Raw genomic sequence first — 16,917 nt, forward strand, 5'->3', positions numbered from 1 at the left:
AGAGCCAGCTAAGCTCCAGGAGCTTTCCAGGAAAAGTGTCCCTTGGAAACACCTTTTCAAGGTGAAAGGTGTTCCTTTTCACCGTTCCCAACAGCACCCTAGTAATGGCGTGGCCCTTTCCCTCCCCTGAGCTCCGCGGAGAACACAACCAGCAGGAGACATTCCCTGTTATCAAGAAATGAGTTTGATTCCCAGCCGAGGGACAGCAGGACTGGTAGAGACCGTCAGGCCACACGGCTGCCTGCACAGCACTCCAATACTTGGCAGGGGGCAGGAGGGGTGGCAGGAGCTGGCTGTCCAAAGGCTGGGCACGGCAGGGAGGCTCACTGGAGGCGGCGCATTTTGGAGGGGGGATGTCAAGGGACAGCGTTCTCTTGTAGTTGGACCACAAGACTCCACAAGGACAGCATGGTGACTGATGCCCAGCGCTAGAGGCGAGGCGGTCGGCCATGTGTAGGTGTGTCTATATATGAGTATTGATAGATATTTATAGAACAGGGCAGGGTGTACAACAGAGGCACAAGTTTTCACCAGTGGTCACACCTGGATGTGTCAGCTCACCACGACAGCAGACTAAGTCACAGATGAAGGGGGCTGGCTTTGGGGCTGGGGGAGCCACTGTTAAGTCACAGAACAACCGTCCAGGCAGGCTGGGAAAGGGAGGTCACCGAGAAGAGGAGGGATCTGTTTAGAGGTCGAAGGGCTTGGGGCTCTCTTGCCTGACTCGATCTATCAGCTGGCAGCTGGAGAGAAAGCGGAGAGAAAACGGGAGAGAGAAAAGTGAGGAGAGCTGGTAAGGCAAGTGCAGCACATGGTGGGAGGGCCCGGGACGGGAGGGAGAGGGAAGGGTGCACGTGCAGGTGCAGGTACAGGTGGGGGTGTGGCAAGGTTCCTGGAAAGGAGGGGCTGGAAGAGAAAGGGGAGGATGATGGAGGATTCGGAGCTTCACAGGTAGCACCTGGGGGCTGTGGCGGCCCTCCCGACCCCACACACGCTGGCCTTTCCCACGGCACCCAGGCAGTGCACCCACAGTTCAGACCGATCTCAGCCCCCTCGGGCTTCCCTCTTCTCTGGTCACCCTGTCTTCCAACCCACTGGCTCAGGGCTACCCCTTGCCGTGGAGAGCCCCACGCAACAGCCACCAGGTCTCATAGAGAAAACACTGCTTGAACCGGGAGGGTGAAGCTAAAAGGGGTCAGAAAGCCCAAGACCCTCTGAAGGGACCCTGGGGGAGGCAGGGAGGGCAGGCAGCCGGATGCCAGTGGCCATAGACTTGTAAGTCTAAGTGGGGAGCCTTAGCTGGTCGGGGTGGGGTGGCTGCAGGTGAGGCTGGGGTCTGTCTTCCTGCTGGGAAAAGCAGAAGAGCAAGAGTCAGTGGCCGGGGAAGTTGGCGGGCTCGCTGGGCAGAGCTCAGCCGGGCCAGCAGGCACCGTGGTCCCCTTGGCTGAATAGCATAGGCAGCTCCTAGGAGCAACAGGCCAAGGTGCGTGAGCTGCCGGCTGGCTACGTTCCTTCTGCTGGGGCCAAGGACACTGCCTTCAGTCACACGCTAGCAGGTATGTCAGTACCAGGAGGGAGGCAAGACCTCATTTCTATAAAAAAGATAAAACCTGGCACGGTGGCTCACACCTGTAATCCCAGCACTTTGGGAGGTTGAGGCAGGTGGATCACAGTGTCAGGAGTTTGAGATGAGCCTGGCCAACATGGTGAAACCCCATCTCTACTAAAAATAGAAAAATTAGCCGGGCATGGTGGCGGGCACCTGTAATCCCAGCTATTTGGGAGGCTGAGGTAGGAGAATTGCTTGAACCTGGGAGGCGGAGGTTGCAATGAGCTGAGATCACGCCATTGCACTCCAGCCTGGGCAAAAAGAGCAAAACTCTGTCTCAAAAAAAATAAAAAATAAAAGAAGATAAATTAGCCCGGTGTAGCGGTACACACCTGTGGTTCCAACTACTTAGGAGGCTGAGGCAGGAGGATCGCTTTAGCCCAGGAGGCTGAGGCCGCAGTGGGCCATGATTGCTCCACTGCACTCCAGCCTGGGCAAGAGCAAGACCATGCCTCAAAAACAAAAACAAACAAAGAAAAAGAGACAAGGAGGAGGGAGATTACATCTTGATTTTCCCTACACTTTAATTGAAATTCAGCATTTCCTTCCATGGTGAATGTTGCTGGGAACAAACCTCATTAGTGTTAGCAGCACCTGTTACCTTGTTACCAATAGAAATCAGATATTTTCATGTTACATTGCAGCTGTTGCAGACATCTTGAGATATCACTTTTGCTCATTATTACCTCAAAATTATAGTAATTAGACCCAACTCTGGATCTTATTTAACGTGCCAGTAAAGCATATCATGTAATATCAGAAATATTTTCATAAACTCTACAAGATTTATATACATTGCTGTGTTTTATTTTGTGCACTTAAAATAAAAATCTGAGGCCAGGCCAGGTGCAGTGACTCACGCCTGTAATCCCAGCACTTTGGGAAGCCGAGATGGGTGGATCACAAGGTCAGGAGATCGAGACCATTCTGGCCAAGATGGTGAAACCCTGTCTCTACTAAAAATACAAAAATTAGCCTGGCGTGGCAGTGCGCGCCTGTAATCCCAGATATTCAGGAGGCCAAGGCAGGAGAATCACTTGAACCTGGGAGGTGGAGGTTGCAGTGAGGCAAGATTGTGCCACTGCACTCCAGCCTGGGTGACAGCGAGACTCTCTCTCAAAAAAAAATCTGAGGCCTGATTACAGGCACAGTGGCTCATGCCTGTAATCCCAGCACTTTGGGAGGCTGAGGTGGGCGGATTGCCTGAGCTCAGGAGTTCAAGACCAGCCTGGCCAACCATCTCTACTAAAATACAAAAAATTTGCCAGGTGTGGTGGCATGCACCTGTAATCCCAACTACTCAGGAGGCTGAGACAGGAAAATCGCTTGATCCCAGGAGGCGGAGGTTGCAGTGAGCCGAGATCACCCCATTGCATTCCAGCCTGGGTGATAAGAGCGAGACTCTGTCTCAAAGAAAATAAAAAGAATCCCAGCTCCTCTACTTGTTGGCCCTATGACTTCACTGTGTCTGTTTCTCCATCTATAAAAATAGAAGGGAGAAAAGGTACCTACCCGGGCCGGGCACGGTGGCTCATGCCTGTAATCCCAGCACTTTGGGAGGCCGAGGCAGGCGGATCACAAGGTCAGTAGATCGATACCATCCTGGCTAACACGGTGAAACCCTGTCTCTACCAAAAATACAAAACATTAGCCGGGCATGGTGGTGGGTGCCTGTAGTCCCAGCTACTCGGGAGGCTGAGGCAGGAGAATGGCATGAACCTGGGAGGTGGAGCTTGCAATGAGCTGAGATCGGGCCACTGCACTCCAGCCTGGGCAACACAGCGAGACTCCATCTCAAAAAAAAAAAAAAAAAAAAAACAAAAAAAAACCCAACCAATCAAAAAACAAAAGGTACCTACCTGGTAGGTTTTGGTAATTCTAGAGTTAATCTGTGTGGTGTGGTGGCCAGGAGGCTCAGTGCACATTCAATAAACATCAGTGGCCATCATGATTCACCCACAGCTGCAAGTCATCCCCGCGACTGGGAAGTCCTCAGAACTCAGAGTCCCTGTCCCTGGCAAAATTTCCCTGTCCTAGGTTCTCCTCTGTCAAGAGACTGCTTTTCCTATAGCGCGAATAGATGGTCATGGATTATTCCACAAATGACTCTCTACTGAAGGTGTTCAGCCTGGCTTGCCCTTTCAGGAAGCAGGTTGAGGTTTCTCCAGAAAGTTGCCCAGAAGTAGTGTCTCTCCAGCTGTTGCGACGACAGCTGGCTGAACGTGCCCTAACCCAGCCCTGACTCTTGCTTCTTTTGAGCCTGTGCAGCAGCCGTGTTCATTACCAAGTGCTGCCGGCAGAGCCTGGTGGTGGAACGCCAAAGTGTGTGTTTCAGTAAATGCTCGTCACGTGCCTGCGTTAGTCTATGCACGCTACATTTTCGTAGCCCTCAGTTATTTCATTAATAGGCCTGAACTAGTTCTATAATATTGGGGAGTGAAGAATGAATGATCCTATTTCTTTTTTCTCAGTTTGTCTATCTCATTTTTCACTATATCCTGTGCCTAGAATAGTGCTTGGCACGGGTAGATGCTTAGTAGGTATATTTTATTTTATTTTTATTTTTGAGACAGAGTCTTGCTCTGTCACCCAGGCTGGAGTGCAGTGGCACGATCTCGGCTCACTGCAACCTCCGCCTCCTGGGTTCAAGCGATTCTCCTCCCTCAGCCTCTTGGGTAAGTGGGACTACAGGCGCCCACCACCACGCCTGGCTAATTTTTGTAGAGAGAGTTTTGCCATGTTGGCCAGGCTGAGCTGGAGCAATGCTCCTCTCACCTCATGGAGCCTCCACCTACCACAGCTGTCAGTTTCCCCTAATCCTAGGAACCCCCGCCCCAAGGGAAACAGGACAGACAGCGCCCGTGTCCCACTCTGCTCATTTTCAGATGAGGAAACAGTCACCAAGGTCCCGTGCAAACTCGCCGCCCACCCAACAGCCCACATCACTTGCCTTGCTCCAGCTTCCCGCTCGCCAGCTGGTGTTCCTGGCAGCCAGCAGGTCCGCGGGGGCCCCGTCTCAGCCAGGCTGGGGGCCGGGGGCTGGGCCTCAGGAACTCTGCTGCTGCTGTTGGGGCTGCCCCAAGCTAGCGTGGACAGAAGCCCAGAGCTCAGGGGCACCTCAGGGCTGAGGGGCTCAGGCTGGCCCTTGGGTCTCGGGCTCAGGGCAGTCACCCAGGGTGTGTGCCTGCAGCCAATCAGGGTTGTGGGGAGGAAGGTCCCCGGCACTGCCACAGTCTGCAGGTCCCATGAGCCTGGTCCTGGGGTTGGGAAGGTGGGAGTCTCTGGCTCCAGGAGGCTGTCCCTGCCCTTAATCTCCGGCAGAGTGCCTACGGGAGGAGGGGGAGGAGCCGCCCCCACAGTGGGCCACAGCTAACTGTCCACAGGCCCCAGGCCGCCATCCTGAGCTGGCTCCCAGGCTACAGTCCTTCCTGTCCACAGCTCCACCATGTCAGGACCAGGACAGGAGTGGGTGCTGTCGACAGGGAACAAAGGGGGCAGCGTGGGGCTGAGTCTCTGGGGCAGGTAGGGTGCTCCGTGACCCACGGGTTCCTCATTGTCCTTGGAAACCTCATTGGTCCTGTCCCACCATGGAGGGGGCAGCTGGTTCTGGCTGTCCTAGTCGACTAGGAAGTCATTTTGGCTCCCAGGGGTGGCAGGCGTCTGCGTGCCATCAATAGAAACCCTGGGCCAGGGCGGGCTGGAGAGCTCAAGGTCTGGAGCCTCTATGGGGGTGTCTTCCTCACGCAGGAAATTGACCAGAGTGTTCCCAGGAGTCTGCTCTGAAGGTGGGGGTGGGGAGTGGCTGGCCTGGCTGGGCCAAGGGCTAGTGGGCCAGGGTCTCAGTACCCCCTCCTCCTTGGCTGCAGGAGGCCCTGTGGCAGGCATGGGGCTGCCGGTGGAAGGTGCAGCAGGACGGCTGTGCAGTGGGGGCGTCCGATCCCCTGTCCCTGCCAGGTCTAGGTCAGGCCCCTCTAAGGGCCCATAGCACAGATCCTCGTGGAGATGAATGAAATTGTAGTCGTAGTGGAAGTCATCTACAAACACGCGCCCCAGTGGGCCCAGCTCTGGGGCCTCCTCCTCAATGGCATTGCCATGCTGGCTGGCGCAGGTGAAGGGCTTGGGGCCAGGAGGCGTGAGATGAAGTCAGCCTCGCTGAAGAGCTCGTGGCTGAGGAGCCGCTGCCTGAGCCTTCAGGGCCCAGTGTGTCCAGGATTCGCCAACAGGGTGGTAGAGAGCAGGTGACTGTGCTGGCTGGCTGCTGGGCCTTGTCACAGGGACACTGGTGTCATCGGTGCAGAGGACACTTCGGTGCTGAGTGCCCTCCCTGCATGTCACTGAGCACTGCAGGGAAGCCAGGGGAGGGGCTCAGGCTGGGAGGCAGGCTGCCAGGGGACGCTGGGGCAAGGCTGGGTAACCTGTCCACTGCCCGATGTCAGAGTGGCAGAGACCCCAGCCAGCCCTCTTTGGCCGTGCCCAGCTCAAGGCCATGGCTGTGGCCACAGCTTGCCAGGGGCTTCCTGATCCCTGAGGCTCTGGAGTCAGGGTCTGGACCCTGGAATCCCCCAGGCTCCCTCCCACCTGTGGTACCAGGCAATAAGGGCTCCCGGAAGGCCGTCTACCTCCCTGCAGCCCAAGACCAAGGGGGGAGCTGGAGGCAGGCCCCTTCCCATCCCGAGACCAGTTCCCCGCAGCCCAGGTGGACAGACGGGGCACATGGTGGTTGCAAGGGGTTCCAGCAGGGGACTGGGGATGGTGTTCACAGGCGGGCGGCTCCAGGGGTCTCTGCTCATCCAGCCCCACACTGGGATGCAGAGCACTGCCCAGCGGGAGAGGCCCCCAGGCCCCTGCCCACCACCATGCGAGGGCACACAGGTGGCATCAGCGTGGTGTCAGATGGGTGGCATCGGCAGGCTGACCAGCAGGGAGGGCCAGGAGGGGCTCCCAGACCCTCAGGGTTTGGGCAGAGCCGGGACTGAGGCCAGCGGACGATTCTCCAGAGCTCCTAGCCCAGGTCGGTGTCCCGCCCCCAAAGCCTGGTTACACGGCTCAGCCCCTCCACTCCCACAACCCTCCCCTCAGGGAAACTGAGGGTGACCAGAGGCCTATTTCCACATCCAGGGACCCAAAGAGGAGGAGCACAGGTGTCCCGGCTGTCCCAGGCTGGGGTGAGCGGCAACCCGGGGCTGGGGCTTCAGCCTTAGGAAGAGAGTGAAAGTCCGGCTCCCTCTGCTCCTCCCCTGGGCCTCAGGGAACCCAGATGTAGGGGCCTGTGGCAGACGCAGGACACCTAGGCGTGGGGAGTTGGTGGGGGTGTGGTCAGGGTGGGTTCACCCGGCAGGGCGGGACTCCTCACCACCCCCTCTGGCCGCCATCCCTGGGCCAGGGTGTCACAGTGCTCCTCGTCCAGCAGCTCTGCCTGCCACTCCGAGCAGTACACACTCTGCCTCTGCACACCTAGGGGCCATGGGGATCCATTTGGGCCTGGCACCCAGATGCCCACCACCCGAGACCCAAAGACACCCTTTCTGCCAGAACCCTCCCAGAACAGTGCCTCACTGCCTGTGTCAGGAGAAAGGCAGGCCTCCACCACCACCTCCTCGCTGTCCTCCTGGCCCTCACCCCCTTCCTCTCCAATGTAGCCTCCCCTCTGACTGCCCCTGGAGGGTGGCAGAGTGTGGCAGTTTAGTGGGTTGGGTGCCCAGACCCTCTGCTTCCTGACTGAGGGGCCTTGGGTGGCTCATTTTCCCTCTCTGAACCTCAGTGTCCTCCTCTGTGAAGTGGGAACGACAATCCTGCCTGCCTCTAAGCGCTGGTGTGAGGACTCCGTGTGCTCTCACACGTGCAGGCTCAGCCTGTGCCCCACACATCCTCAGAGCTCAGCAAGTGCCAGCTGCTGCTGGCCTGCAAACCCAACCATGGCGTCAAGGCTGTCCTACCGTCCACACCCTTCCTAGCAGGCTCAGGAAAAGCCTGGACGAGAAAATGCATCAAGGGGCAGGCCCCGCTCCCTGCCCCTGGCACCAGTCTCGCCACTGCTCCTGTCCTTTGCTCCCTCTGCCACCGCCCACCCCGGGGCCTCTGCACGGCCACACTCCTCACCTCGGACACTCACTTCCATACTGCCTGTCCAGGCCCAGCCGCAGGACCCCCTCTGCTGGTGGCTCTGCCTTCTCTGCTCCCCTCCGGTTCTCTGTTCCCCTAGTAGTCCTGAAGTAAGTTGTCCCTCCCCCAAGCTGCCAGTCCCACTCCCGTCCCCCTCTTTCCTCACCAACAGATTCTGATTTTGTTCAAGGCAGCAATGGGACCTGCTGAAAACACACCCCGTTGCCACTCCCTTGCAACTAGGGGGGCCTGGGACGCAGTTCTGGCTGGGGAGAAAAAGGCACAAGTCCCTCGCTGGGAGTCAGCCCTTTCTCCTCTCCTTGTTCTTGCGCAGAGGCCTGGAAGGGAGGATGCCATCTGTGACAAGCAGGAGGGGAGGGCTGGTGTGGCAAGGACAGTGCGGTTAAGGGCAAGCCAGCTCAAGTCCTGCCAGCTTGGATGGTACACCTGGGACTTCCTACCTGCGACAATAACCCGTCTGCTCCGGCCCCCACAGGGACCAGCCTCTGCATACACTCTTCAGTGGTCCGCCTGTGAAGCCAATTTGCTGAAAGACGACTCCCAAAATGTCTGGTGCTTCCAACGTATCTGTCAGTCTTCACCTCTATTTAAAGACACCGGTAGTAGATGAAATGGGTTTCCTAGCTCTCTGGAAGGTATCTGCCGAGTTCTCCAGTTTCCATTTTGCCATCTTAATAGCATTTTAAGGAATGCTCAAATGTCTCTATCTATCTCAGATTCCTGATTCTGAGACCCTGAGGACACTGAGTGTCAAAGATGGGAGGACTGAGGGGAAAAGGGGAGGACTAAGAGACGGGGTAGGGGAGATCGAGAGGCAGGTGGGGAGACTGAGGGGCGGGGGGAAGGGGGATGAGGAGCCTGAGGGGCAGGGGGGAAACCGAGGGGCAGTGGAGAGGGGCTGGGGGGAGACTGAGGGGCAGGGGGGAGACCGAGGGGAAGGGGAGGGGCAGTGGGGAGGGGCATGGAAGGCACATGACAGGCACCTTCAGCTAAGGCTCTGGGAGTGGGGAGTCAATCCCCTCCCTTCCTCTTTTTTTTTTTTCTTTTGAGACAGGGTCTTGCTCTGTCATCCAGGCTGCAGTGCAGTGTCCAGGTCGTAGCTCATTGCAGCCTTGACCTCCTGGGCTCAAGGGATCCTCCTGCTGCAGCTTCCTGAGTAGCTGGAATTACAGGCACATGCCACTGCACCCGGCTGAATTTTTTCTTTTTTGGTAGAGGCGGGGTCTTGCTGTGTTGTCCAGCCTGGTTTCAAACTCCTGGGCTCAGGCAATCCTCCCGCCCCAGCCTCCTAAGGTGCTAGGATTACAGGTGTGAGCCGCCTCACCTGGCCCAACATCCCCATTTTCAACCGGGACACCCCGCCTTGCTCCTGTGCTACAAACAACATCCCAAATTCATCACAACTGCACAGCAGGCCCCGCACGCACGCTAAATCCACGTCCACCTACAGTCACCACAATTCAAACGTTCATCAATGTCACACCAAAAACCTCGACTTACGATGACTTATTACGAAAGCTTTCAGGGAAAAATGTAGGCAATGCCATCTGCTGCAAGTGTTTATTCTATTTAGAAGTCTACAAATTTGAGCTTTTAAGAAAGATTCACAAAATATTCATTCAAAACCACATTTTTGGCTTATCAAATTTCAAATATATTTTACTGTGCTGAACAATATATTCTAATGCTGTCTAAAACACAGCTAAATTATTTTTCTTTATTTGTTTATACACATTCGGTAATTTCTGAAAAGCAAGATTTAAAAATATTTATTAACAAAACTACCCAATTACAATGACTGTTCTCCCATACACGCAACTATTTTCTGTAGCTGTATCTTCTTACCTCATTCCACTTTAACTCTGTATACCGTATTGATTTGTGATGAGATGATTTATTATGAGAACTCTTAGGGAGTTCTCATCTTCCATTTCTCATCAATTCAAACAGCAACACCTTTCACAAGATAACATTAATTCCCTTGGCAGGGCAGAAGCTTAAGTTTGTTAAAAGCACTCACTGAAAAACATTTTTAAATTTATAGGTCATATAAAATAATTTACAAAGAGACAGATGACTTCAAATATTATTTGGCAGTCACCTTACTATGTAGAAACATAAATGAAGCAATCTGTCACACGAGACACCAGTCACTTTTGGTCTTTTGAAGGAAGTGTGTGTGGTGAGTGTTGTTTCTGCAGGCCCATCCAGCATCCGCTGATTCTGGCAGCCCTGAGCCCATGTGTCACATGGAGACCTCTCCTCCTCCCCCACATGAAGCCTCCTGGTTCAGGAGCAGGAGGAGCCGAGGTCTCCAGGCCCTCAGTGTTGAAATCAAAGGTTCCAAGAAAATAAAGCAAGGATATACACAGAGACGCCAAAGGAGGGTGTGACAGGAAGGAACGTGAAACAGAAATCACAGGAAAGCTCCTACATCAGAACTCAGAATTTCTCAAAAGAAATATTAAAAATCAGAAACATATACCATATGAAAAAGTAGCAAAACAATCTGCAAAACTATCTGGACTTCACTGCCGCCTGAGATGTGGTTACTTGTTCATTTAAAGAGGAATTTCTCCAGGAAATACACATCATGACTTCAGTATTAAGAACCGTAGCGATCCTGAAGAGAGAACCAAAATGGAAGTTCACGACCATTCAGCAGCGATCCCTGACTCCCACGCCCTGAATATTCAGCATCACCCAAATTGACACTGCAGCCCATGTCAGGCATGTGACATGGACGCTGCACCCCGAGGGTGTGCTCATCTGGAAGCAGCCATTGCTGCAGCTTCAAGGCTGAGGGTAGGTGTGGGCTTCAGAACCCAACAGGATTCACATCCTGCCTCTGGCATCCACGGCCACAGTCCTGGGATCAGGAGGCAGGGAGCAAAGTGGGCGGGAGGATGCTCAGTGGGCCAGAGGCAACTTGCTGAGCCCTCTGGGAAGCAAGTGGGAAACGGAAGACAAAGGAACACATTTGGTGTTTGAAGCCCTGAAATTTTGGTTCAGCTGGTCATCTTGCAGAAGTGACCTAACCTTCTGTGCCTCAATTCCTTCACCTGTAAAATGGGGATATAAAAGGGAGCCATCTCTAAAATGGGGATGACCATCTATAAAATAGGGATGTTACCTATTTGGACACTGATGTGGGCTTAGCTGACCTAAGGGACATGAAAGAGCTCTATGCATTTTAACTTCAGTGCCACATGAAAGGGAAGACTGTGCTATTCACAGCATGAAAACGGCTACATCCAGAGTCCTGGGGCTGAGGGAACTCTCCGGAATGGGTGCACCTCCACGCCCTCCTTGAACTGCAGCTAGAGCAGCATCTGCCTGGGGACCAGGAATCTCCTTTGGAGGCACCAGAGTCCACACGGTTTCAGTCCTACTTCCTTTAGCAGCGTTTTACATTAATACAATCCTTCTTCAATAGCCTGACGTAAACAAGAAGGTGCAAAGAAACGAGCCACTCATATCGTCACAGATGGCCTCGACTCTCATGCGCAAGTATGCGCCATCCTTGGCTTATGTTTTCACTCAATAGAATGTGGTTTTAGGAAAACTTTTCATTACAAGGAAATGCTCCCAGCATCACAGAGAAAAAGCAAGATATAAAACCCTCTATACAATATAATCCCTTTTTAACTTTAAAAAGATAGATATGTATATCTTTTTAATCTACGTATAGAAAAATATCCTTAGAAATCTAGAGCTAAAAATATACCAAAATATTAACAGAGGTTATCCCTGTGATGTGGCATTACAGATAATTTCAGTTTTCTTCTTAATACTTCTCTGTTCCAATCTAGGAAAAAAACTGGACAATGGTCATGACAATTCCTCTAACAATTCCCCTAGAGTCATCCGTTAGAAAATATTAAATATAAAATTATAATTTCTGGTTTTCATAATGTTCTGGGTTATAGTGTAGCAAACATATCGATCCAATAATATATAATTGAATTTTCCAGCAGTTGAAGATTGAAGCAGGTCTCATTTTCAAACTGCTGAACCTACCGTCATAGCCAGTGAGCACTGCCCCATTCCACTGACCTGAATTGAAGTCACGACTCCATTAGCAAAGACGGAGAGTTTTCCAGCAACCGATCTCACTCCCTGCTTGAACTGCGCCATGTCGGGGGCGTTGGGCAGCACACTGGACAGGCTGTAGTTCCCTGCACACACACAGCAGACACTGTCTCATCACTGCCCTGGCCACAGCTGCGGCAAACCCAGTACCCAGAGTGCTCAACGGCTCCAGAGAACCCGGATCTCTCCCCTCCTGCTGCCTCACAAGGGGCCCAACAGTGGGATGGAGACTCGGGCTGAAGTGGCAGCCCTGCCATGATCCACATGAGAGAATCCACACGACAGAAAATGTAGTATGGGGGACTTAACACCACTATGAGTTCAAATCCTGGCACTGTCACTTCTAGGCTGTGTGCCTCTAGAGAAGTTCCTTGCTCTCTCTGGGCCCATTTCCTCAAGGTGCTTAACATAGCCCTGGCAGGTAAGTACCCAGCAAAAGGCAGATGGGCCAACACGGATGGCCTGTTTCTCATCACCTCCTCCCTCTTTTGGTAACAGTACTCCTCCCTTCCTCCAGGAACCACCTCTCCCTTCTACCCTGTCCACAGGCATGGGCACATGACCCAGGCCTGACCAATCAGAGCCTTCCCAGGGATTCATGTATCCTCAAATGAGAAGAGCCATTTGCTTGCTCTGGGGTTATTGGCAGGGACAAAGCAAAGCAGCAGCCATCTGTGACTACGACTGCCCCTCCCACTCGCTTGGGGTATGGAGGAAGCTTGTTACCTCCCCCAAGGAGGTGAGCCAAATAGATGCATCACTGATGCTGTCTGACTGTGACTTAGAAGCCAAGCTCCACTGCCAGTCTTCCCAGGTACAGAAGTTCACACTTCCACCCTCTTTGCTAGGGCCGGTGTTAGTGGCCCTAAGTTTTGTTAGTTGTTAGTTTTGTTAAGTGTTAGTTGCTTAAGTTTTGGTTGCCCTGATGTAAACATCACCATAATTGCTACCAATCTGGGTGAAGTTCATCAGGGTTATCACACATCAAGGAGGTCTGACCACACTCCTAGAGCTGACAATCAGGGGTTCATAAACTTCTGTGTCACAATTGTAATAAGACGCTGGAGGGGCTCAGTGAGCTCAACACAAACCCTGCAGGTCCTCAGGAGTAGCCACGCCCAGCTACTCCCTAAGCCCCACATGACACCACCTGCTCCTTACAAAACAGAAACCCACCAGACGCAGTGGCTCACGCCTGTAATCCCAGCACTCTGGGAGGCTGAGGTGGGAGGATCACTTGAGGTCAGGAGTTCAAGACCAGCCTGGCCAACATGGTGAAACCCCATCTCTACTAAAAATACAAAAAATTAGCTGGGCATGGTGGCACACACCTGTAACCCTAGCTACTTGGGAGGCTGAGGCAGGAGAATCACTTGAACCTGGGAGGTGGAGGTTGCAGTGAGCCAAGACTGTGCCACCCCACTCCAGCCTGGGTGACAGAGCGAGACCCCATCTCAAAAACAAAAACAGAAAGCCTTGGTCAAGTCCCTCTCTGAGAATAAAACAGAACTGACAAGTTACCCTGCAACGTGTCCCTTGGAAGAGACACTGCATTTGCCCCCAGCACTGTTCCCATGCCCACCACAGATGCAGGTCCTCCCATCTCCACCTCCAGCTGACTGTCTAAAATCTTGTAGGCCTTCACCAATGACAGAGTGTAATTCCAACACAGTGATGGGACTGGGGTGCTGTGTCTCCTCTGAGGGCTGCCTGGGCAGGCTGGAGGGGCCGGGTGGCCATGGTCAAAGACAGCCCTAGTGTGCTCAGGTTACACAATGAGCTCCAGGAAATGACAGTTCCAGCCACCTGCTCAGGAAGAGCGTCCTTGACCCAGGGAATCTCTCCTCCCTATCTTTTCCCAGAACACCCACAGTGTGTACTGAGGACACAGCTACAGACCTGCTTTTCCACAGCTCACCACCTACTGGGGAAAGCAGACAATTAACTGATAACATCACTAAAGTGTGACCTGTGTCATCTGGAGGGGACACAGAGCAAACTCAGGTAGACAGCTGGGAGGTGGCTGCAGGGGTCCAGGTGCATGGGGCGGTGCCTGAGCATGAGGAGGCGGCAGTGGGGATCAGGAGGGAACGGGCTGAGCGTCCTCAGGAGGCAGGTGTCAAGAGGCACACTGACTGACTGGCCTAGGCAGGCTGAGAGGCAGGCGGATTAAGGATGTTTCCCAGGTTTCTGCTTGGGCAGCCAGGAAGAAGACAGCTGCTCCCCTCTCTGAGACAGAGGGGACACTGAGCTACACAGTGGTCTGTGGTTGGGGCAAATGCCCTGGATGGGTCAGGACAGGCCAGGTGACTCTGAGCTAACAACCACCCACAACTGATGTTTGCTGTGCCCAGTGCAGGTGGGCAGGGGGTTCTGTGCATCACAGTCACTTGCGGTCCAAGCCCATGGGGCCACCTCTTAATTCCAGCTTCCTTGCCTACTATGACAGGGAAAGAAACATGGCAACATGCGCACAGCTCTTAAGGCTTGTGCTGGAGGCGGAACACATCGCCCCTGCAGCCTGGCACTGGCCATGGGACATGGGAGGTAGGGGGAGGCGTGTTCCAGCCTATGTTGGCCGGTGGGCAGGTGCTCAGACTCAGCAAGCTCCTTGGGGTCATTCATCACCCCTCCACCCATTCATCCTCAAACACCTGCAGAGGGCTTCCTCTGCCAGGCTGTCAGGCGCCAAGGGCACAGAAATGAGAACTGACAGTCCACTGGGGGAGACGGTCTTCGCATGGTCTTGCCCTCAGTGTAAGGCACAAGAGTGGTGCAAGGGGGCCTAACCAGGCCCCCAGGGTAAATACGGGTTGCGGGGCTGTCTGGGGGAATGGGGAAGAAGAGCATTCTGGGCTGGGGGCTCCACAGGCTCAACACAGCTGGAGTGAGCCACAACAGTGAATCACGAGAAATGAGGCTGGAAAGGCCAGTGGGAACCATGGTCCTGGAGGTGGGCATTGGGTGGGGAGCTGTGCTTCAAGCTGAGGGCAGGATTTTCAGCACAGATGACTGTGTTCTGAAAGATCCCTGTGGGAAGAGTGAGGAGAGGGGTGAGCAGCAGCCAAGACTGGAGGCAGGAGGACCAAGCAGCGGGTTGTGGCCACGTTTCAGGTCTGGAGTCACCCAGGAGAGATTCTGATCATATGGGTCTATGGTGTGACGTGGGAGGTGGAAGTTTCCAGGACAACTCCCAGGCTCCTCAAAATAACAATTTTTTTTTTTTTTTGAGACAGAGTCTCGCTGTGTCACCCAGACTGGAGTGTAGTGGCGCGATCTTAGCTCACTGCAAGCTCCGCCTCCCAGGTTCACGCCATTCTCCTGCCTCAGCCTCTGGAGTAGCTGGGACTACAGGTGCCCGCCACCACGCCCAGATAATTTTTTTTTTTTTGTATTTTTTAGTAGAGATGGGGTTTCACCGTGTTAGCCAGGATGGTCTCAATCTCCTGACCTTGTGATCCACCCGCCTCAGCCTCCCAAAGTGCTGGGATTACAGGCGAGAGCCACCGCGCCTGGCCCAAAATAAGAATTTTTTTTTTTTTTTTGAGATGGAGTCTTGCTCTGTTGCCCAGGCTGGAGTGCAGTGGTGCGATCTCGGCTCACTGCAAGCTCCACCTCCCAGGTTCACGCCATTCTCCTGCCTCAGCCTCCCGAGTTGCTGGGACTACAGGCGCCCACCACCATGCCTGGCTAATTTTTTGTATTTTTAGTAGAGATGTGGTTTCACCATGTTAGCCAGGATGGTCTCGATCTCCTGACCCGTGATCTGCCCGCCTCGGCCTCCCAAAGTGCTGGGATTACAGGCGTGAGCCACCACACCTGGCCCAAAATAAGAATTTTTAATAGAATACCACGTATTAATTTCTCTGCTTCATGCAGACAAATGAAGAGAAAAAGTATTTCCAAGATTATAAGAACAAGTTTGGGCATTGTTTGTTTGAGACAGGGACTCCCTCTGTTGCCCGGGCTGGAGTACAGTGGTGTGATCACAGCTGACTGCAGCCTCAATCTTTTGGGTTCAAGTGATCCTCCTGCCTTAGCCTCCGAGTAATTGGAACTATAGGCATTAGCCATCGCACCTAGCTAATTTTTTTATTTTTTAAATTTTTTGTAGAGATGGGGGTCCCACTATGTTGTCCAGGCTGGTCTGGAACTCCTGGGGCCACTGCACAGCTATACTGTCTGACAAGCACACATGGCAATAACCAAACCAGACTGCCTGATGCAGACTGAGGGCAGTGCTTTCGAGGTCACACTCCTAGACCCTGGGCTGGAGCAAAGAGAAAAGGAGACAGTGGTTAAGGGACCTCACAAACAACCTACCACTTGACCCCACGATGCACACAAGGAAGGGGTGCAGGTGTCTGCACTCCCATGCAGACGTGCTCTCATTCAAACAATCAGAATTGGCTTTCTGGGAGGAAACATGCTGAGGGGGCAGCTGGGTTTTAAGCTTTTTGTTGTATCCTGGCTCTCACACAGCTGCCTCCACTCTGTCATCTGGTGTCTGAGTGCCTCACGCCTGCCTGAGGCAGTGCCCAGCTGATGGCAGTCCCCCAGCTCTAATGACCCTGTCCCATGGGTGTGACCACAGGGACTGTTGCTGTGCCAGGTCAGGTTGGCTGCAGGCACTTACATGCGCTTCCCACTCAATCCTTCAGCTACAGTGAAAGAGAGTGCCCGTAAGAACGGCCGCAGGTCTCCTGGGCTAGAAACACCCCCAGAAAGCAGCTTACCTCACCAGAAGCGTTTCACATTTGGAAATTAAGATAAGGAACACAGAACTGATTGTTTCCTTCCTTCCTTCCTTCCCTCCCTCCTTCCTCTTTTTTTTTTTTTTTTTTTTTGATACAAGGCCTGGCTCTATCACCCAGGCTGGAGTGCAGTGGCACGATCTCAGATCACTGTAACCTCTGCCTCCTGGGCTCAGGTCATCCTCCCACCTTAGCCTCCAGAGTAGCTGGGACTACAGGTGTGCACCACCATGCCTGGCTAATTTTTGTATTTTTTGTAGAGACACGGTTTTGCCATGTTGCCCAGGCTGGTCTGGAACTCCTGAGCTCAAGCGATACGTCTTCCTCAGCCTCCCAAAG

At 53.6% G+C, this 16,917-nt stretch overlaps 1 protein-coding gene and 2 pseudogenes across 3 annotated transcripts in view, besides 1 other annotated feature; all 3 read right to left on the reverse strand.

Annotated features, from left to right (window-relative positions):
• DNM1P18 (dynamin 1 pseudogene 18) lies at positions 162–1,334 on the reverse strand (annotated as a pseudogene).
• Positions 4,560–6,452, reverse strand: ADAMTS7P5 (ADAMTS7 pseudogene 5; annotated as a pseudogene).
• The window catches only part of ARFGAP3 (ARF GTPase activating protein 3), a 60,772-nt gene continuing 53,106 nt past the window's right edge, over positions 9,252–16,917 (reverse strand). For all 3 annotated transcript variants that reach the window (NM_001142293.2, XM_005261525.5, NM_014570.5), the window contains 2 exons: positions 11,789–11,910; positions 9,252–10,355 (listed from right to left, as the gene is read on the reverse strand). In NM_001142293.2, coding sequence (NP_001135765.1) covers positions 10,338–10,355; positions 11,789–11,910 — 140 coding nt within the window. In that variant the 3' untranslated portion in view covers positions 9,252–10,337. The remainder of the gene's footprint in view (positions 10,356–11,788; positions 11,911–16,917) is intronic.
• Positions 12,293–12,587: an enhancer, noted in NCBI's record as "tiled region #9313; HepG2 Activating non-DNase unmatched - State 14:Gen5', and K562 Activating non-DNase unmatched - State 23:Low". NCBI's record gives its function as "activates a minimal TATA promoter and a strong SV40 promoter by Sharpr-MPRA in HepG2 and K562 cells {active_cell/tissue: HepG2 | K562}" and the evidence as "EXISTENCE:reporter gene assay evidence [ECO:0000049][PMID:27701403]".

This window comes from Homo sapiens, chromosome 22 (assembly GCF_000001405.40).
Source record: "Homo sapiens chromosome 22, GRCh38.p14 Primary Assembly".
Classification (NCBI taxonomy): domain Eukaryota; kingdom Metazoa; phylum Chordata; class Mammalia; order Primates; family Hominidae; genus Homo; species Homo sapiens.